At 41.7% G+C, this 20,064-nt stretch overlaps 1 protein-coding gene and 1 long non-coding RNA gene across 5 annotated transcripts in view, besides 9 other annotated features; one reads left to right on the top strand and one right to left on the bottom strand.

The window, feature by feature from the left end:
- LOC124902436 (talanin) overlaps positions 1 to 10,098 on the bottom strand; it is a 28,368-nt gene extending 18,270 nt beyond the window's left edge. For 3 of the 4 annotated variants that reach the window (XM_047426118.1, XM_047426121.1, XM_047426119.1), the window contains exon 1: positions 2,616 to 3,005. In XM_047426118.1, coding sequence (XP_047282074.1) covers positions 2,616 to 2,809 — 194 coding nt within the window. In that variant the 5' untranslated portion in view covers positions 2,810 to 3,005. Of the gene's footprint in view, positions 1 to 2,615; positions 3,006 to 9,777 lie in introns of those variants that run through there. The other variant, XM_047426120.1, reaches the window with a different exon arrangement.
- Positions 1 to 20,064, top strand: part of LOC105378327 (uncharacterized) — a 31,382-nt gene that overhangs the window by 1,845 nt on the left and 9,473 nt on the right. The window lies entirely within an intron of this gene.
- Positions 281 to 530: an enhancer, noted in NCBI's record as "active region_3424". NCBI's record gives its function as "activates an Ori minimal core promoter by ATAC-STARR-seq in GM12878 lymphoblastoid cells {active_cell/tissue: GM12878}" and the evidence as "EXISTENCE:reporter gene assay evidence [ECO:0000049][PMID:35858748]".
- Positions 831 to 880: a silencer, noted in NCBI's record as "silent region_2398". NCBI's record gives its function as "represses an Ori minimal core promoter by ATAC-STARR-seq in GM12878 lymphoblastoid cells {active_cell/tissue: GM12878}" and the evidence as "EXISTENCE:reporter gene assay evidence [ECO:0000049][PMID:35858748]".
- Positions 1,081 to 1,130: an enhancer, noted in NCBI's record as "active region_3423". NCBI's record gives its function as "activates an Ori minimal core promoter by ATAC-STARR-seq in GM12878 lymphoblastoid cells {active_cell/tissue: GM12878}" and the evidence as "EXISTENCE:reporter gene assay evidence [ECO:0000049][PMID:35858748]".
- Positions 5,572 to 5,741: an enhancer, noted in NCBI's record as "experimental_13680 CRE fragment used in MPRA reporter constructs". NCBI's record gives its function as "activates a minimal promoter by MPRAs in K562 erythroleukemia cells, with activity observed for both the introgressed and non-introgressed 10:64407845 variant alleles {active_cell/tissue: K562}" and the evidence as "EXISTENCE:reporter gene assay evidence [ECO:0000049][PMID:34662402]".
- Positions 8,711 to 8,880: an enhancer, noted in NCBI's record as "experimental_13669 CRE fragment used in MPRA reporter constructs". NCBI's record gives its function as "activates a minimal promoter by MPRAs in K562 erythroleukemia cells, with activity observed for both the introgressed and non-introgressed 10:64404706 variant alleles {active_cell/tissue: K562}" and the evidence as "EXISTENCE:reporter gene assay evidence [ECO:0000049][PMID:34662402]".
- Positions 13,089 to 13,158: an enhancer, noted in NCBI's record as "active region_3422". NCBI's record gives its function as "activates an Ori minimal core promoter by ATAC-STARR-seq in GM12878 lymphoblastoid cells {active_cell/tissue: GM12878}" and the evidence as "EXISTENCE:reporter gene assay evidence [ECO:0000049][PMID:35858748]".
- Positions 15,600 to 15,829: an enhancer, noted in NCBI's record as "active region_3421". NCBI's record gives its function as "activates an Ori minimal core promoter by ATAC-STARR-seq in GM12878 lymphoblastoid cells {active_cell/tissue: GM12878}" and the evidence as "EXISTENCE:reporter gene assay evidence [ECO:0000049][PMID:35858748]".
- Positions 15,840 to 16,079: an enhancer, noted in NCBI's record as "active region_3420". NCBI's record gives its function as "activates an Ori minimal core promoter by ATAC-STARR-seq in GM12878 lymphoblastoid cells {active_cell/tissue: GM12878}" and the evidence as "EXISTENCE:reporter gene assay evidence [ECO:0000049][PMID:35858748]".
- Positions 16,370 to 16,459: an enhancer, noted in NCBI's record as "active region_3419". NCBI's record gives its function as "activates an Ori minimal core promoter by ATAC-STARR-seq in GM12878 lymphoblastoid cells {active_cell/tissue: GM12878}" and the evidence as "EXISTENCE:reporter gene assay evidence [ECO:0000049][PMID:35858748]".

The raw sequence follows: 20,064 nt of genomic DNA, 5'->3' as shown, positions 1-20,064 counted from the left end.
GAACATATATAAGACACAGTTTTAAATAGACAGCAGTGTCATTTAGTTTCCAAAGCTGAGTGGAAATAAAAACCAGGGCCATGTAGACACACCCTAAACCTAGCACCTGCTTTTGAGGCTGCTTCAAATAATATCATCCTGATTTTTCTTGTGAATTGGCTTCGATCACTTGTGATTCCTGTGCATCTAGCATGTCTCATAACCGGCAGTCATTCATAGCCTATTTTAAGTGTGAGCATTCAAATGCTAGGTTTCGTTCATGAGCGACAACTCAGGCCATCTTCTCTGTTCACGGTGCTGGCTCTACAAGTCACTGCACACTCAACAGGGAGGTGCATGCACACAAACTTTCCAAATCGTCTTTAAAGGTTTTCAGTTCCCTTTTTTCTTTTTTTGGTTTCTATTGCCTTCCCAGTAATGGCTAAGACATTGCCAGTTTGTCTTGCTTCTTGTGATTTCTCCAGATGGCCTTATGGCCCAGGAGATCAGTTGGGACCAGGTGTTAATATCCCACTGATTTTAATCTGGCTTTTATTTTTTGTTGCAAGAAACAGAAATCTATTCAAGCCAACTCAAGACAAAGGGATTTCACATATTGCATTACATTACATTATTTTTAAATGGTAAATCCAAGAGCAGGAGCCATATCAGACCCTGGCCTTAAGGAATCCAGAACTCGAAGATGCTTCTAGATTCAAGGAAGCTCCCAGGTCTTCCACAGTAGGAGTTCATGGATGTTTGATTTCTATGTTTAAGCAACAAATGCCATGTCTTCTTCTGCTCCCTGTACTAACTGATGGTTATTTGTTTGTTTCAAGTTCAGGGCCCTAGGAGAGAATCTGATTGGTCCAGTCCATCTTTCAAAGTAGTCTGCACCTCTCTCTTCAGCATATGGGTTGTCTGCCATTGGCTCAGGTGCCCTGCCAGGGCCAATCATCTATGGATAGAGGAAGTGGGGCACTGGGTACTGAGTATGGCTTCCTGGGCCTGTCCCTTCAGCAGAAAGTGTGGGCAGGATGGGTACCCTCAGAAGAGGCTGTAGGTGGGTTGGCACAGTATTGACCTTTCCACAATACCATTGTGCAAGACACTGATGTCATATAGCCAAGACATGTAGTGGTGTATCAAGGTAAGATGATATTGTATTGACAAAGATACAAATGCAACTCAGAAAGACATCTACAAAGCCACATGCATGTATCTTTGCAATTGGCATGCTTAAAACATGAAACAAATACCATTATTCCTTTGTGATATGTTTTATCTAAAAATATTTATTCTTTTGCCCAAGTTCAGCTGTCAAACTCCATGGCTTTCTCAGGCAGGGCCTCCCAGTTTTGGTGAGCAAACTGCATTCAGCACAATTTCAGCCTGTGCCGTTCACAGAGATTACAATGGGATGACTAAACTGTAGCCACATTAACCTTTGCAGTTGCCAGCCAGTTATTGAGGTTTTGTTGTGATCGAGCTAGTGAAAACCTATTGGATTTGTTATCACCATTGACTCAGTGTCTATAATGCTTTGGGCTACAGCTTTAAACATAGGCTGAATGAATACCCACATAACTTCAGAGGTCCCATATGTCAAATATATTATGCACATGTTGTTGGTGATCTCTCCTTTGAAGACTGGCCCACTTCCACCTGGGGTCCCTGTAGAACAATGGCTCTATGATGGGACATTTTGACTGAGGTAGGAATGTTAAGGAGCATGAGTTGCGATCCAGGACTGGATGCCTTGCTGCAATGTGTGTGAAGGTTGTGGTGGGGGCGGGGGAGAGGAGCTGCTGATATAAAGGCAGAAAGCATGGCAAACTTGGCCTGCATGACAGTTCTGGTGAATGAAAACCCCTAGACAAAGACCAAATACCTGGGTTCGAGGTAACTGTCTTGAGAAAATTCACTACTGATGGTGGCATCGGTGATCTGCATTTGTATGAACTGCAGTCTCTATTTTTGAGTTCTCAGCAGAAACCATTCTCTCTTGTCACCTGAGGTGCACAGCTTTCTAGGTGTGTTTTTCTTGTGCCCCATATCACTTTCTGTCTATATTTTTAAAATATCTACCTGATTTTTCTTTGCCCTTGGATGAAAATTTCTTTTAAGACAAAATCATTGTCTGATTCATCCTGGTGTTCCTGCTATGGCTTGGAACATGGTAGGCATTCAATAAATATTTGTGGGATGAATGATAGTAAGAACCTAAATTGTCGTTTGAGTCACCAAATTGACCGTGATCCATGTTGTGCTCTCTGCTCAGTGGCAGTATTTGGCACAGGGGAATGTCTGAGATGGCATCATTGCCAATCAAAGCTATTTTCAGGGTCAAGTATAATTTTGCAAATATCTCTAAAATAGTTACTGTGAAAACACCATCAATATATCTTGTAATATGTGAAAGGGTGTACAGGCTCCATTGATTACCAGAACAAAGATGGAATTCCTAAGGACAGACCAGGAAAGTTCTTTGAGTGAAGACAAAGAGAAGGAGGAAGATGTAGAAGAGGAGGAAGAGGAGTAGGAGAGGAGGATAATAGCTGGCATTTATTGACAGTTTGTTATGTGCCAGGCCTTGTCATAAGCACTTTGTATGTATTAACTCATTTAATACTCACAGAAGCCCTATGGGGAAGATACCATCATCCCGTTTTGCAGATGAGTCCGGTGCAAAATAGGGCAAGTTGCCTTTCAGTCCACACAGTCTGCTTTGCAGGACTCCTTGGACTGCACTTCTCCTGGGGTCTTCCTCTCTCCCTCTCTTTCTGTTCCTTGGCCTTCTAAGGAGGCCTTGGGTAGTCAAGGTGATCATTGTAATTTCATCTTAGGGGGCCATTCTGGCTCTTTACTGGTCTCTTGAAGGTAAGACTAGATCTTCAATATTTTTCAAAATAGAGTGTCTGTAAAATGGAGAAATCCATTTCTTGCTGATATTTAGTGCTCTGAGAGCATTAACACTGATGTAGTATTTTTTCAAAACAAAACAAAATCCTCCATCACAGGTTTGAGAATGGGAAGAGATGAAGCGGGAGGAAGAGTCAGACAGCCGTGACCTGCCACAACTGTGTGAGTAACCACTACAACAGTCACTGTGTCTGCCTGGGCAGATCCATTCTTCCAGTCTTGCCAGATGAAGGCATTCACTGCCTTGAATCTGCTCTGACTTTCAAAGACACTACTCTAAAAGCTTCAATATTTCTTGGCTAAACAACAGCCACTTCCCAGGAAGGTCTCCTTATTTCCCATCTGTTTTGATTGTTGACATTTTGGTTTGGCAATAGGGAAAGCCTCCTCACCAGAAGCTGGAGCCCATGTCTAAGGCAGAGAAACTAAGTCAATGGCAGAAAGGTTAGATTTGTTCCTAACAGACTGAAAAAAAATTTACCCTTCCAGGAACTTAGGTATCCTGTGTCCAAACTGCACACGCAGGAGCAAAGATTACATAATTCTTCAGATATTTTTAATATACTTGACCAAAGTGGAGAATTGAGATGGCATCCAGGGTTCTGGTTTGGCAACAACAAATACTTACCATTAGTCAGGGTTCTCCAGAGGGACAGAACCAATAGGATACGTGTTTATATAAAAGGGAGTTTATTAGGAAGAATTGGCTCACATAATTACAAGGCAAAGCCCCATGATGGGCCGTCTGCAAGCTGGAGATGAAAGAAGCCGGTAGCGGCTCAGTCCGAGTCCAAGAGCCTGAACCAGGGGAGCTGACAGTGCAGCCTTCAGTCTGTGGCTGAAGGCCAGAGCCCCTCCTGGCAAACCACTAGTGCAAGTCCCAGAGTTCAAAGGCTAAATGGAGTCTGATGTCCAAGGGTAGGAGGAGCAGAAGGGAGCATCCAGCACTGGAAAAAGAAGGAAGCTAGAAGGTTTGGCAAGCAAGGTGATCCCACCTTCTTCCACCTGCTTTGTTCTAGCCACGCTGGCAGCCAGTTGGATGGTGCCCGCCCACAATGAGGGTGGGTCTTCTTTTTCCAGTCCACCAACTCAAATGTTAGTCTCCTCTGGCAACACCCTCACAGACACACCCAGAAACAACACTTTACCAGTCATCTAGGCATCCTTCAGTCAATCAAGTTGACACCTAATATCAACCATCACAAGTTCACACCTTTTCAACTTGGCACCCATACACATCTCCTGAAATCATACTAATCTCCAAATAAAGACAATAATAATGTCATAATTACACCTAACGTAATACAACTATCCTTCATACAACCAGAAGTACACTGATTCTAAACCTAAATGCTATTACATAAAGCATCAGCATTCAATAAATACTTGTGGAATGAATGAATGAATAGAAAAAGTCTAGAAAGGTATCAAACATAAATGTTGAAAGTAATTATTCTCTCTTTAAATAGCTGCATGTTCTGATTTTTCTATTATAAATATGTATTTGTTTTATAATAGTTTTAAAAATATAACTTCAATTTTCCAGGAACTTACTGATTTGCAGCTGAAGTGAGGGCAAAGATTGAGCTGGGTTTTGCCAGCTTTAATATAGGCAAGCTCCGCTTTATTGTGTGTGGTACAGCAGCAGCCCCTGTGGTAAGTTCCTGGAAGACTGGGCCCTTTTCAGGATCTAGATCAAGTTAATACTTTCTGGCCAATGGGGAAGTAACTACTTTGTTCTCTGAGCAAAGGGCTTCTTAAAAATCACAAGATATTAGAGGTTGCCTTGCCCAATTTTCCTAGTTTCCAGATGAAGAAACTGAGTCCAGAGAGCTGGTTGGCCTTGAGAATGTCAGTCATGAAACTGGTATTAGAATGCAGGTCTTCCAACTTTAAACACATTTCTCCTTTCCACACTGGCACAGCCAGAGACCTAAAAAGAAACTAGTGACATCCTCAACTGGGTCACTGAGGGAAATTTAATAAAGAGACACTTTAAAAGGTGTGGGCAGAGTTTGGAAGACCAGCAAAGGGAGTGAAGTACTCCAGGTTGTGCAAAAATGGAGAGCTGTTACTGCCTGAGGCCCAGACAGACAAGCACGGGGGCTGTTATAGAACCTGAAAGAGCAGGAGTGCAGAGAAGGTGGCAGACAGACAGGCACTGGGGCCTTCCATAGGGACACAGCCAATCTGCAGGACCCAGTAGTAAAGGTGAGAGCTGGGGAATAAACAGCCCAACCTCATTCTTTTCCCAACTGGAAGCCAAAGGCCAAGGGAGCTTGTTGATGCAGCTCAAAGAGATGGGTGTCCTAGGGCACAAAGCATAGTAAGAAAGGGCAGAGAGGGAATCTGGAGGGGCCTATGCAATGTACCCGGCACACTTGCCTTCTGGAAGATCAACTTAGTCCTGTCATTGCCCGTTGCTGTTTGCCCTTTGATTTGATTTGGCTTCAAGTCAGTAATAACCTGGACAATTGAGGTTCCATTTTAAAAACTATTGTGATGCAAAGAATACATATTTATAATAAAAAAAACAGAACATGCAGCTATCTAAATAAATTTAATGACTTTCATCATTTATGATTGACACCCTTTGAGATGTTTTCTATTCGTTCATCCATTCATTGCTGCCATAAATATTTATTGAATGCCAAGGTGTGCCAGGCTATTTCAGATGTATGCATGTAGGAGAAAATAAGATAAACAAACATCTTTTCTGTTCTTTCCCTCAAGGAGCTAACATTCTAGAGGGGGGGGAGTCACAGTAAACAAGATAAATAACCACAATGATAGAATGCGAGACAGCGATGAGATTGTAAGAAGAAAATGAAAGCAGGGCCAAGAAATAAGCGTGTCATGGGGAGTTATAATTTTAAATAAGGTGGTCAGGGAAGTGTGTGTGTGTGTGTGTGTGTGTATGTGTGTGTGTGTGTGTGTGTGTGATGAGATAGCAAGAGAGGGCACCAGCATGCAATGGCTGCCCTTTGGGCTTTTCCTCGGCTAACTGCTGAGTGTTCAGGTAACAGGGAGTGTAGGTGGTGTGACTTCTCCCCTCCCTCGCAGTTTCAAAATGTCTCTTTTTAGATTTTTTTAAAGGGCAAAGCTTTCTCCACTCCATATATTAACCACTTAAAAAGTGCCATGGGGAATCCTTAGCATAAGTTTATTAGCCAAATTCTTGGTGTATATCTGTCCCTTTATAGCTGGGTGACTCGGGGGAAGTCATTTGACCTCTCTGAGGCTTAGCTTCCTCATTTGTAAAATTGAGGGTTTGGGTGACAATTAAAGGAAATAAGATTAGATCTGTGGGGGGCCTAGTGGCCAGGACATAGCTCATATCCTATAGATAATAGTTTCTTTCCTTCTCTGGGTAGGTGTGTTCTGCTAATACTATGGACCTGAGATCCACAGAATGGGGAGTTGACTGAACAGCCTATTAATAGTAATAGCTGGTGTCAACTGGCCACCTATGTGCGAGGCAAACCCTTTACCTGTGTGATCTCATTAAATCCCCACATTTTAAGTTTAGGAAATGCAAGCACAGAGCCCCCTTGCACAGGTGGTAGGCTGCAGAACCCAGGCTCAAGTCCTAGTTTGATTAACATCAAAGCCTATGCATGCTTGATCAAAGCCCTGTGCTCCTTCTCTACCCTGCCTTGCCCACCCCCATCAGGAAGAGTCAAGGTTGGATGGAGCCAGAGTATAGGGAGGGATTTTTTCATAATTTGAAAACCTATGATACTACTGGGTAACATATCATTATTACCTTGGAAAAGCTTCTTTGCTAAATCCCACTAGGACAATGGTTCTGCAAGTAGGGTATGGAGCTGATTACCTGTGGATCACCTGAGTAGTTTATTTAAAAAATACAAATGCCAGGGCTTTACCTCCTGAAATTCTAGTTGAGTAAGTCTAGGGTAAGGCCTGAGTATCTGTGTTTTCTAACAGAGTCTCAGGTGTTTCTGATGTACAGCCAGGTTTGGACTTGTAGGCTCTGTAGGGTCTAAACTACTAATGCACCCTGGGGATCTTTTGTTCTTGTCTCCTTATTGCAACTGAGATTATAAATTATCACTCTTCCCAGTGGTGGTGAGTCTGCTGGGTAATCTAATCCAGGCTTCATCTGAATGTTTGATAAAATGATTGCAGCAGGACAAGGTCAAGTTGTCCTGAAGCATTCATATGAGAGGCTTCCTGCTGGTCAGCCCACAGACTCATGTTCTTTGGCCATTCAAAGAACAGTCTATCAGCTGTACTATGCTCCAGTCCACAGTTTCTATGAGGACGCTGTGATAAACCTTGTCAAATGCTTTGCCAAAATCAAGGTGCACAGTGTCTGTGCTTTTCTTTTCTCTAAACATTCTAGAAGCCCCATCAAAAACAAAGTGTGTATGAGTGTAATAATTCTTTGTCAGTGAACCCAATCTATACTAGATGCCAGGGATTAGCAACTTCTTTTCTTTTTTTCTATATAAGCAATTGTTTTGAGTTTCAAATCTTATTCAGTTTAAAAAATTTTTTTTTATTATACTTTAAGTTCTGGGATACATGTGCAGAGCGTGCAGGTTTGTTACATAGGTATACACGTGCCATGGTGGTTTGCTGCACCCATCAACCTGTCATCTACATTAGGTATTTCTCCTAATGCTATCCCTCCCCTAGCCCCCAACCCCACGACAGGCTCTGGTGTGTGATGTTCCCCTCCCTGTGCCCATATGTTCTTTTCTAAGGGCTCAAAAGTCTTTTATTCTTTTCTTTTCTTTTTTCTTTCTTGAGAAACAAAAGAATCTACTGTCTTCTTGGTAGGTTTCTACAAATGTGAGCTGAAAAATGGATCACATCAGTCAATCGTAAAACCAATTTGGGCCTCATATGGCATCACTTGGGTCTTGACATTTCATTTCTGTCAAGAACAAGGGTTCAGATTGTCAGCATACTAGGCACCTTGGAGGGTGGGTTGTAGGGAAGAAGGCGCTGGTCTTAAAGTTGTACATTTACCAAGTTTCTTTAATAAACAAGAAAGGAAAAGACTACACAGTCACTCATATTCCATGTAGAGGTTTAGCCAGTCTACACTGGAAACCTTAGAACCACACCCATCCATCCCATCACTTCCCTGATGACTGCAAATGGGTCGTCCTCTGCAAATGGGTCTAAAATGATTGTCAGTTCCCCATGAATCTCTAAATGCTCCAGCCAGTACTTTGAGAGTAAATTTTATTCTCTTAAGGAGATGGCTTAATCAACACTACTCAATATATCTGATCTCTATGTGACCTTGTTATATTTGTTCTTATGTTTCTAGACCCTGAATGGAACCCCTCACTTGGCTCGTTTATCTTAAGATATCCTATTTGCATGAGGCTTTATGTATAAAAATCAGCATATTCAAAAATTATAGCATTAATATCACCTTGAAGGATTATTCTTTGCTTTAGTAGAGGATTCACTATGTAATCCTTTAAGTAATGAACATCACCAAGAAAACATATTTAAATCTATGCTCTTATTTTCATAACGGTGTGTCTTGTATATGCTACTGTAAACCTATAAAGAGTCAGTCTTGTCATCATCCATTAGTTACTTTCCTTTCTCATAAATTAACAAACCCATGTATTCTTTGGTCTTGTCATAAATGATGACTTTATGTTATTATTTTTCTGAGTTTTGTTTATTTTATTTATTTGTTTATTTACTTTTGAGATGGAGTTTCACTCTTGTCACCCAGGCTGGAGTGCAATGGCATGATCTTGGCTCACTGCAACCTCCGTGTCCTGGGTTCAAGCGATTTTCCAGCCTCAGTCTCCCAAGTAATGAGGATTACAGGTGTCCGTCACCATGCTGGCTAATTTTTATATTTTTAGTAGAGATGTGGTTTTGCCATGTTGGCCAGACTTGTCTCAAACACCTGACCTCAGGTGATCTGCCCACCTTGGCCTCCCAAAGTGCTGAGACTACAGGCATGAGCCACCACCCCCGGCCAAGTTTTATTTTTTGATCATTGAAGAGCAATTAAAAATGTTGAAGAATAACAATGATAGTCACCATGTATTGAGTGTGTTTATACCAGGCACTGCTCTGTAAATGCCATACATACACTCAATTATTAAAACTACATATTAAATTATGGCATTAAGATTATAATTATTATTCTCTGTTTATCTTTAACTACTTTGCTTTTCTTCCTCAAATATCACCCCAAATCTTAAAACTCAGAGATAGCCAGTTTCTTCCTCCCTTGGAACAAAAGAATTCTAATACATTAATAAAATACTTCCTCATTGCTCCTTTTGTTTTCTAAGTTAACTTGAACCAGGGCTGTATAAGTTAATCTTATCTGCTAGGGTTGGAAACTTTTACTAAGGCGTGATTTGTGTTACTAAGCTCATAGTGGGCTTTAAAGATGACAAAGGGTTGCTAAATTTATTCATTTGTTCATTTTCATAACAAGAATCGATTGAGTACTTACTGTATGCCAGGCACCGTGTTAGGCATTAGAGAAAGAGATAAGTAACTCACACTCTTCAGACTCCCCTCCAACATCTACCAAAAATTATCTAAGTGCAGGTTCCTCTCAAGCCACTGGGCAAGTGTCCAGATGCATTTTGGAGGCAGGTTCCCTCTGCCCAGTGCTAGCACCTCCCTTCCTGATCTTTTCTTATTATTTGCATACTATTCTTAAGAACTACTCCAGTTTTTATGGGAATAGCTCATGCTCTACTGCTTGGTCTGGCTCCAAGGCTTTTGGTGTCACAAAATCCATATCAGCATTGAACCCCCTCAACCCTACTCTCAGAAGACTCTTTCCACTGAGAGGATCCTTTGCGACTCATGCCCTTGAACTACCCATTCATTTAGAGACAGAAGGGAATTTACCTGGAGACAGTGATGGTTATCTGACCCAGCGCAGACATTAATTAAAGGATGATGCTCTCACCCAGTCCAAGGGTCATGATGGAATGCTCTTTCTTCCAAACTGAGCAGAAGTTCCTGCCTTGTGATTTCTCTGAAAAACTTCTAAAATACTATGTGTTTCCAGCTTCCTTCTACTTCACCCTTTGACCCAGGGTTTGCAACTTGACTTGTAGGGGCCAATTCCTGTAAAATAATGTCCTGCTTAGGCTCTGCTCTAGATGTAAGTTAGATTTCCAGCAACCATGGAAATAACTGGGGGGTGGAGGAAACAAAACCTCAGAGCAGACAAAATAGCAGTTACCAAGGCCATGCACAAAAGCCATGCAGTTTTCTCTATTGAACAGACTTCTAGGCCCAGTGTGTCAGTTTCCTTTTGCTGCTGTAACAAATCACCATGAACTCAGTAGTTTAAAACAACACACATTTATTATCTCACTGTTTTGGAGAATAGAAGTTTAAAATGAGTCTCCAAGGTATCAGCAAGGCTACATTTCTTTCTGGAGGTGTTAGTGTGGAGAATCTAATGTTTTACCTTTTCCAGCTTCTAACAGCTATCCCCATTCCTGGGCTGCAGCCCCTCCCAGAGATGGATGGCTTCCATCTTCAAAGACAGCAATGGCTGCCCGAGTCTTTCTCATGTCAAATCGCTCTGACATTGACTCTCTTGTTTTTCTCTTTCACTTGTAAGGACCCTTGTGATTATATTGGGCCTGCCTAGAAATCTGGAATAATCTCCACATCTAGGGCAGTTGATGAACAACTTTAATTACATCTGTGACCTCAATTCCATCTGTAACCTTAATTTCCCCTTGAAATGTAACAAAACGCATTCAGAGAGTCTGGGGATTGGGACATGAACATCTTTGGTGGGGGGTGGGGGGGCTATTCTTCTGCCTTCCCCACCCAGGCTCAACTATACATATACCTTGTGCACAGTAGCACAAATTTGGCTAGTTGGTGTTTGAGCTGTTGAAAGTAGGAAGCCCTGTGAGTGGCAGATGATTGTCTGCAATGGGAAATGAGAGCTGGAAGCCTAACGTCAAAAACAGTGATCAAAACCAAAAACGAGCCACCCAGTTAACGAATCACAGAAGTCTGACATCACAGAGAATGGGGAAAAGTATCCCTATCCACTTCAGTGGCTCCTGGGAGCATTCTATTTAATGCTACAAAACTTTAAACACTATTCGAAATTGTGATCCTGAGTCATTAAGATAACGTTTTATTCAGTTTAAAAAGTAAGCACCACACCATATTTTTTAAAAAAGGATTTTAAAAATAAAACCATAAAACATCGAGGAAATTTAGTGAATATTCATCTGACTTCTGAAAGGGAAATAATTTTCTAAGCACAAAAGCAAAAGAAGAAATAAAGAAAAAAGCCATATTTGTGTATAAATAGAAGTTAAGATTTACATATTAAAAATCATGAACCCAATTAAAAGGTAAACAGCAAGCTGTGAAAATTATTTGTCACAAACATGATATCCAATAACCTTAACAAAGTTCACCCAAGTCAATGAGTAAAATATTAAGGCCATGAGAGAAAATGGTCGTATGATATGTATTATAGAAGGAAAAATATCAGTGTCAAATTAGTATTTATAAATGTTTAAACTCACTGGTAATGAAAAGTGCAAACAGTTATAAGATAGCAGTTTTAACTTACCAAATTAACACAGATTTTTAAAAAATAACAGTATTTAATGTTGGTAAGGATGGTAAAATATTATTCTTAGAGAATGCTGGGGGTGTATAGATGGTACAAATCCTCTGAAAGGCAATTTTATAATATATATGATTTTGCTTATAGGTACCTCCATTCAAACAAAATCAAAATAGAGGCAAAGATTTCTATAAATAGATATTAATCCTTATTCATAATAAAAACATAATAAAAGTGATTAAATGAAATGTAATGCATTTCCATTATAGACTATCATAGAGCCATTAAAAGATACATTTTCAAAGACTGTTTAATGACACAGAAAATATTAAGTGAATTGTGACAGTTATTTTATATATTAATATTTTATGCAAAATAAGATGAGATAAATTACAATAAATGTTAACAGAACTATGGGCTTTTGCCTTATTTAGTCTTCTGCAATTTTTTTAAGCTTTGAAAAATAAGCATATATTTACTTTTATACTCAAAAATATTTAATTTTATTTTTAACAATTAAAATAGAGATGTGTATAATACACTTTAGAAAGATTTTTAGGTTGAATGGTTTAATTGTTTTGGTGTTCGAAGCCTCAGTGATGCAGACTGTTCATCCACATGAAGTCTTACCTCTCGAGATGGTGGATAAGACATTGCGGTATTTTGGAAATACTGGCTTACCTTAATGAAAAATAAATCTCTAAAATTATATAATGTGGTTAATGTTTGCTTTGTGACAGTATTTTCCAAATTGTGTTTCAGGAAAAAGAAGTACTTTAAGTTGCCCTGTGAAAAAAAGCATTCAGAGTTCAAATAAACTTAGGAAATACTGAATACTATGCAGTCATCTCTTGGTAGCCACGGAGGACTGGTTCCAGGACCCCTCTGTCCCCTGCAGATACCAAAACCTGAGAATGCTCAAGTCCCTTATATAAAATGGCATAGTATTTGCATTCAATCTATGCACATCCTCTCTCATATACTTTAAATCATCTCTAGATTGCTTATAATACCTAATACAATGCCTACACACCAATTTATTTGCAAGGATTCTATGCAGTACTTGGTTCACAGCAAATTCAAGTTTTGCTTTTGTGACTTTGTGAGGTTTTCTTTTCCAAGGTTAGTTGAATCCAAGAGGCAGAATTCACAAATATGACTGTATTCCTTTCTTGGAGAGTCACAATTCACATTAGCATTTTCAAGGCTCTGAAAAGCCCTACAGTAACATGCTTAGTTTTGTTTAGACCAGAGTTTCCCTAAGTGCTACTCTTCAGAAATGTATTGAGTAGCACCTACTAATGTCTCCCTGCCAAATTGTTTTGTGTATGTTACACACCTTGGAAAACCATGAGTTTAAGCAAAGCTCAGCTGACTTACTCACTTCTAGCTATGAGGCTAGAAGATGTGAGTCCAGTTTTGATTATTTTTTCAGAAACTGTCAGGAAAATGCTAGCTGAGATGATGGCAAGGTTGTGATTGGGCAGGCTTGAGGCTCTGTGTGGTAGTTCTATGCTTAGGAAGACTTCAGGCTCTTTTTCAAGTTGTCAGATTCCCCTCTCCCACACTCCATCACCAGTCCCAAGTCAGTGAGTGGCTGCCAGCCAGGGTCCTCTGAGCTGCTGAAGGCTTCCCTTTCCACCCACACTGTGCAAAATGGGGATGGGACTTTCCAGGCACACAGCCTGAAGGCAGACAGCTTCTCCAACTTCCTGCTCCAGATTGGAGAATGATGTGCAATCCCTTACTATCAGCTCTTACATCTGGAAGGGTTTAAGTAGGGTCTATTACTAGAAAGTAAGCTTTATGTTAGAAGGTACTGAATACACAGGAACTTTTCCTGAGGATAGTGCGAATGAAGTCTTTGTTTGTTTGTTTCAATGAGCTGCCTGTAAGTGTCTTCTCTCTCTGGTTTTTTGTCCTCTCCTTCCAAGGTCCTTTTGGCCTTTTTGACCTTTTTTTTTTTCTTTTTTTGAAATGGAGTCTTGCTCTGTCACCCAGGCTGGAGTCAGTGGCCTGATCTCGGCTCTCACTGCAACCTCCACCTCCCGGGTTCAAACGATTCTCCTGCCTCAGCCTCCCAAGTAGCTGGGACTACAGGTGCACTGCACCACGCCCAGCTAATTTTTGTATTTTTTAGTAGAGATGGGGTTTCACCATATTGGCCAGGCTGATCTCAAACTCCTGACCTCAAGATCCACCTGCCTCGGCCTCCCAAAGTGCTAGGATTACAGGCGTGAGCCACCGTGCCAGACCCGACCTTTAACTTTAACTTACGGTTCAGGATCCCAGGCAATGGGCTCTTTTTGGAGCCCCATTATGATTTTCAGGTCCACCCAAGTGGAACAATGTCTTTGGTCATATTGACATTCTCAGACAGCATTCATTGTCCCACTATGCTCCCAGAGCCTTTGACCCTTTTTACTGGCTTCATCAGACTCTCTCCTAGGAAAAGGTGGAAATGGAGAGAGAGAGAGAGAGAGAGGGGAAGATGGTGGTGAGAAATCATCCACCATCCTACTTAGACTCACAGATGCCCATGACAGTGGGGGAGGCTGGGAGCTTCATGATCATCGCATCCAGTTGTTTGTGGATATCCAAGGTTTGGTGAACAGAGGAATATGTTGCAGGGGGTGATGGGGGGCTGTGAGTAGGTTGGGGGTGACGCCAGATCTGTACATATCACTTCAGCACTCTGTTTTATGTATTGGGACTTCCGGTAAGGTTTTGTTTAAGAAAAGATTCCTGCTGCTAGAAGAAATGGTTAAAGACAATAGATCCAGCCCAGCTCCATGCATGAAGTCATCATGCAGCTTCTTCTCAGATCCCTCCAGTGACAGGGAGCTCATTACCATTCCATATTTGGTTGTAATAATATATTGTATAGAGCAGAAATCTGCTTCCCTGGGGCTCCTACCCATTTGTCCCAGTTCTGCTTTCTGGAGACAGACAGAAATAGTTTAAACCAATTTCCAGCTTTCAGCTCCATCAGAGCAGAAACTTTGTCAGTCTGGTTCTTTGGTGACTCTCTGGAGCAATGGCTGGCACAGAGTGGAAGCTTAATAAGTGATACTCGAATAAATTAATGAATGAGGAGCTTCATGTATCTGTTGTAGGATTACCATATGATTTAAGTCTTCAAGACTGGCACACCTAAGAGCTCACATGGTGGAAACCTCCTCACCCCTCCTCAACCTGGATCCTCTCTGTCAAAGGAGTTCTGGATGGAGAGGCGTATGCTAAGGATCTTTGGGCAAGGGGCAAGGACCCTTGGGATTTAATTTATCTACCAAGTGCTTCTGAAAAAAAGCTGTACAAAAAATGCACTGCATAAAAGCAACTTGATAATCCTGATGAAAGCAACCAGACCCTTATCAGGGAATGAGCTATGACCCTGGCATGAGGGTCAGACATCATCGATGGTCACCAATGTAGTAAGACTTGAGAGGCACTGGAAAGTCTCACCGGCTCCCGTGGTAAGACCAGAAACTTCACCATCAGAGAGTCATTACTTTGGGTAAAGTACTTCTCTCTCCTTTAAATGTAATTAGCGGACATAGTGAGTTGCCAATATCTTGGAGTGAATTCGCTGACCTAACTCTTTTCTTTAAGGATAAGGGACCTTAATGATGCTGGATTCTGGGGAAGAACCAGGCCTCAGAGAGAGAAGGGGCAAAATCTGCTGAGCTAGAGGGTGGAAGGAAAGTACATTTTGTTTAACTGGATAAATATTCAGGCCCCTGCAAGCTGCTTCAGTGTGGAAAAGACAATTTGGGGTGGGGGAACGGTAGTCTGGCCCCACATAAACCCTTTAAAATTGCAGACTCCCCCATCCCCCGCCACTGAGAGTCTTCCACATGAATTTGATGTAATGGGAGTAGCACACTCACACATTTTGGAAGATAAGAGCTGAATGTGTTTAAATAACTATCAGGCTGGCGGGAAAGATATCCAGGCTTGCCTGGAGCCACCTTTTCACCACAGAAGGGAAAAACCTAACCCTGACAAGCACGTGGCTGATTATTAGCCGTGTGATGAAGTGTTACTTCCTGTGCAGGACATTCGCATTTCTTGAGAAACTCTTTCTCAATCATAGTGAGTGATATTTTTAGAAAATGAAGGCCTTTGTTTTCTTCCTCTATGTGTATGCTCCCCGCTTCCCTTCACTTCCCCCAAGTCCCATACCCTACCCCAGAGAAGAGATTTAATGAGGGAGTGCATGTCCCCACATGGGGTGGGGGGAGGAGAGTGGGCAGACAATCAGAAAAATGCAATTTACCTGCCCTAGTAGAACTTGAATCACCATACAGACATCTCTTTCATAGTTTTTGCAGCCAAATGTTGCTTTCCTTTCTTGTTTTCCTTCCAGATAATGCAGCTAATATCTTTTCCTTGTGGGGTTGTATTTACTATTCTGAGATCACATTAACATTACTCATTTAACAATCTGCAATGTTTTGAAACCGACATGTCTCACCATATCCCAGAATGGGGTTTTTTTCTCCGCCTGATGCTTTGATTGATAAGGACCGCCCATGACCATGACCTTTAAGATGCATAGTCCAGAGGGCATGGGGTTTGGGCGAAAGGCGGCAAAGGCCTCCCTATCAGCAGGATCACTGTGAGCTCCTGCTCAACAAATGACAGTGCACACTTCACTGCAGATTGGATGCTTTCTGAACTGGTGGAGGCTCAGGAAGCTGCTCTGAGCTGCCCAGACTGAGCAACTGAAACTAAAAGTGAAGCCGTCAAACGCAGCTTCCTGAGCTTTCAGTTCTGGTTGATTTGATGGAGAGTGGGGTGCTATGTTCTCTAACTGTTTTATGGCAGGATCTGTGCACAGGGGTGAGAGTAAAGACTATTAAGAGATCATCCCCACCCTGAAGGAGTTTTCAGTCTAGCAGAGAGACAGACATGTAAATAAGTGTGGTAGATGCCTTCCGAAGATATATACACTGTGGCAGATCGGAGAAAGTGGGCAGTTCTCTAAGGAGGGGAGAGGAGTTGGGGGGATGGGGAAAGTTATAGAAGACTAAAGAGAGAATGCTTGGACTAGGCCTTCATGAAGAAGTAGGCGCTGTCTAGGTGGGAATGAAACGCAAGTGTATTTTTTTTTTTTTGCCTTTGCAAATACATTGAAAAGCATGATGCTCTGGGGGAACTTCTAGAACTCTGATGGCCAGAGTATAAGTTGGAGAGAAGGAAGGGGGAAGAGCAGAGATGAAATATAGGAGGCAGATCACAGAGCCCCCTGCAGGCCCTACAATGGGGTTTTTATTCTACCACATAGGCAATGGGAAGCTACTGGCTAGACTTTAAGTAAGGCAGAGGCTTATTAGACTTTCATTTTAAAAAGGTCGCTTGAGTATCTGTGGGGAGAATAAGCCTGGTTGAGACAGAAGGCAAGAAAAGTAGTTGGGAGGCTGTTAAAATAATTCAAGAAAGATGTGAAGTTTGCAAATAAGGGAGTGGAAGAGTGGAAGGATTAGAGAAGGAGAGAATTACCAAGATTTGGTGATTGGGTAGTAGAGGGAGAGGGTTGAGAGTTAAAGGAAAACGAGACATGTAAGATGCCACCCAGGATTCTGGTTTGAGTGACTATAGAAGACATGGAACGAAAGGGGTGTAAGACAACTAATTCTGTGTTGTGCATGTTGAATTTGAGATGCTTGTGGGACACCGAAGTGGAGAGGCCCAATGTGCAGTTGCTTATGTGGGTTTGACGCACAAAAGATAGGTCAGGGATGAGGAGAAAAACATGAGAGCCATTGGTGAGCAGGTGGCTGTTGAAAGCATGGCAGGGGAGGCCCTGTCCTGTGGGAAGGGCAGAAGGTCAAGGACAGTCCCTCAATTCGTCAACTCAAAGTTGTGGGCAAAGATGGAAGAGCCAGAAAGGGCAACTGCCAAGGAGAAGAGGAGAAATTTGTGTCAAGGAAGGCAGGAGAGAGGGTTTCAAGAGGATAAGACTGGTCCACAGTGTCACACGCTTCAGGGAGGCCAGTGAGACGAAGACTAAAAGCATGCACTGGATAGAGCACTTGGTGATCTTGATGCAGTGAAGCCACAGTGTGGCCCTGGGTGTGGAGGTGAAATTAGCATAGGTGGAAATGGGAGGTGAGTGAGTGGAGGCAATGCACGCGGAAGGCTTGCCCAGGAGAAGGAGGAAAGAGCTTCACCAAAATATTTAGAACTACTGATTTTGTCTGAAAGTTATTTCACAACCAAACAAGGCAGGGTAGTGTCATAGGACAAGAAAGGTGGATTTTGACTACTGAGAACTTCTCACTGTGTTGCAGGCCCTGGGCTGAGGGCTTTGGCATTACAGTCTTGAGTATTCTTTTATTGTATTCTGTCCTTTCATTTTCCTCCAAGATTTTGCAGCCACTCTCCCCTCCCTGCTCAGATTCTACCTCTGCTGTAGCTGGGCTTACACCGTAAGGGCATTTGAGGTCTAGATGAAATCTTAGAAATATAAGACTCTCTCAAAGTTTTTCAATAAGCAGGGCTAATACTAATAATCAATGCTAAACAGCAATCAACAATGTCATGATACCCTAATAAACCTTTAAAGAAGAACTTAGACAAGAAAGCTGTCAAAATGGAAATGGGGGTAGAGTCTTGGCCATGTCAGGGGAAACAAGCACAGAGACCCAGGGTGGTGAGCATGTGTCCTGGGAGGTGGTGGTGCCAGGTGTCCACCACGCTATGTGAGGCAGCCACGTTATTGTTTTGAACAGCGTATCCTCAACCTAGCCTCTTCTAATTGTATAATCACAAAGCTGTAATCACTGATTCCAAAGAGCTGGAAGCCTCAGACGATTGAAAAGTCAAAATGCAGATGTGACAGTAATACAGGAGACACACCTTCCTGTGTGCAGAGGTGGTGAAATGAGAGAATTAATGGTTGGAACAGTTGTCAGGGTTTCCAACTTCTCTAACTTGGAAGGAGTCATTAGGTGAATAAATAGCATACTCCCACTCACACCAGCAGAAGCCAGAATGACCTAGTGGGTAGATAGGGAGTAGCTGTAGTAATAGAACTTGTGTTTCCTCATTGAGTTTTTAATAGAGTTCAGGATCTATCTTTGCCCCTTGTCAGGGGCCACGTTCAGTCCCTCCCATCTCTCCTTCCAGCATCCTTCTTCCTTCGTAGAAAATGGCTTCTATATTTTAAGCCCAGAGTAAGTACCAGGCACAGCACTAAGCATACTGAATATATTCACTTACTTGCATTTTGCAGCCACCCTATGGGGTAGGTGACAACTATTATCCCCATTTTACAGCTGAAGAAACTGAGGTTTGAAAGATTAAGTAACTTGTTCAAGATACATTGCTAGGTGATGGCAAAGTCAGGATTCATATCTAGCTGTGTCTGAATTTTATACCTGTGCTTTTAATTGTTAAGTAACAAGCTATAGCCAAGATACAATCTTTGACTTTTGTTCTCAGTTGGCTGTTACTTCCTCTTAAAGTGTTACTTCCCCCCAATTTTTTTTTTTTTTGGAAACGGAGAGGACTTTAAGAATCTTGAATATTGTTCTGATATATAATGTATTCTTAAAAACATATGACAATCAAATGTATGGAGATCAAGCAATAAGACTCAGATCCTATTCAGTTAAGGGGTAGGAGGATTCCCAGAGATTTAAAAAATAGTTATAGAAATGCTGACTACGGCTTGCCTTTTGGATACTATATTTGACAATACAGTTCCAGAATTTCACCATGCTCTTTAATTTGTTCTTTGTCTTCATAATTGAACACACAATCAACCATCCTCCATTGAGCATCCAATTGAGGCTAAAGACTTGCCACTTATAGCACACTTGATGATTTCTATTTTTGTCTTAATTTTATTAAATTGATGAGACCTCTCTGCTTATTTTCACTAATACCAGCACTTTCTTTCCCTGTTTCCCAGTCATTTTTGTTAAATGCAATTACATATTCAGACAATTACATGAATCTCCCATTACCAACATGGTACTGCTGTTAAACTGAACAGTTTTGTGCAGCTCTTTATGGGAAAGCACCCAGTGTTCTTCGGTCAGCTAATGAATGAACTCTTGAACTCAGTATGCATGAAATAATTTAGGGGCAGGAGTATCTGTAGTATTGAAAGTGTGGGCTGTAAGAGAGTTAACACATGAAAATCAAGGACTCCAAATAGATCAGTTTAGCAAATATTTAAGGAACACCTACCATGTGCTCAGCCTTGTGGACGTAAAGAATTATCTGCCACTCCTTGATCCTTTTGAATGGGCCAGTTCGTAGGGGGTCATATTTGGGGTTAAGAGGAATGGCACCAAATTTTTTTTTGGTCAAACTTCCTAGGTGGCCACCACTTGGGTATTTTTCTCTTGACTCCAGGTACTGTGTTATTCCAGCCCGCTAAACAGTCTGAACCTACTTAGCCTGTCATCAGGGCAGATGAACTAAATAAGTGAAGACAATAGTAGGACAAGATGGGGCATGTAAAATAGAATTGGACCAACCCCCTAAATCTTCCCACTTTCTCTTTCCCACCAGCTGACTTTCTGCCACCATCACCCAAAGGCATAGGGTAAGGTTAGGTAGTGGAG

Source organism: Homo sapiens, chromosome 10 (assembly GCF_000001405.40).
Source record: "Homo sapiens chromosome 10, GRCh38.p14 Primary Assembly".
NCBI classification, from domain to species: domain Eukaryota; kingdom Metazoa; phylum Chordata; class Mammalia; order Primates; family Hominidae; genus Homo; species Homo sapiens.
Note: the sequence above shows the minus strand (reverse complement) of the source record. Positions and strands in the feature narration are given on the sequence as shown.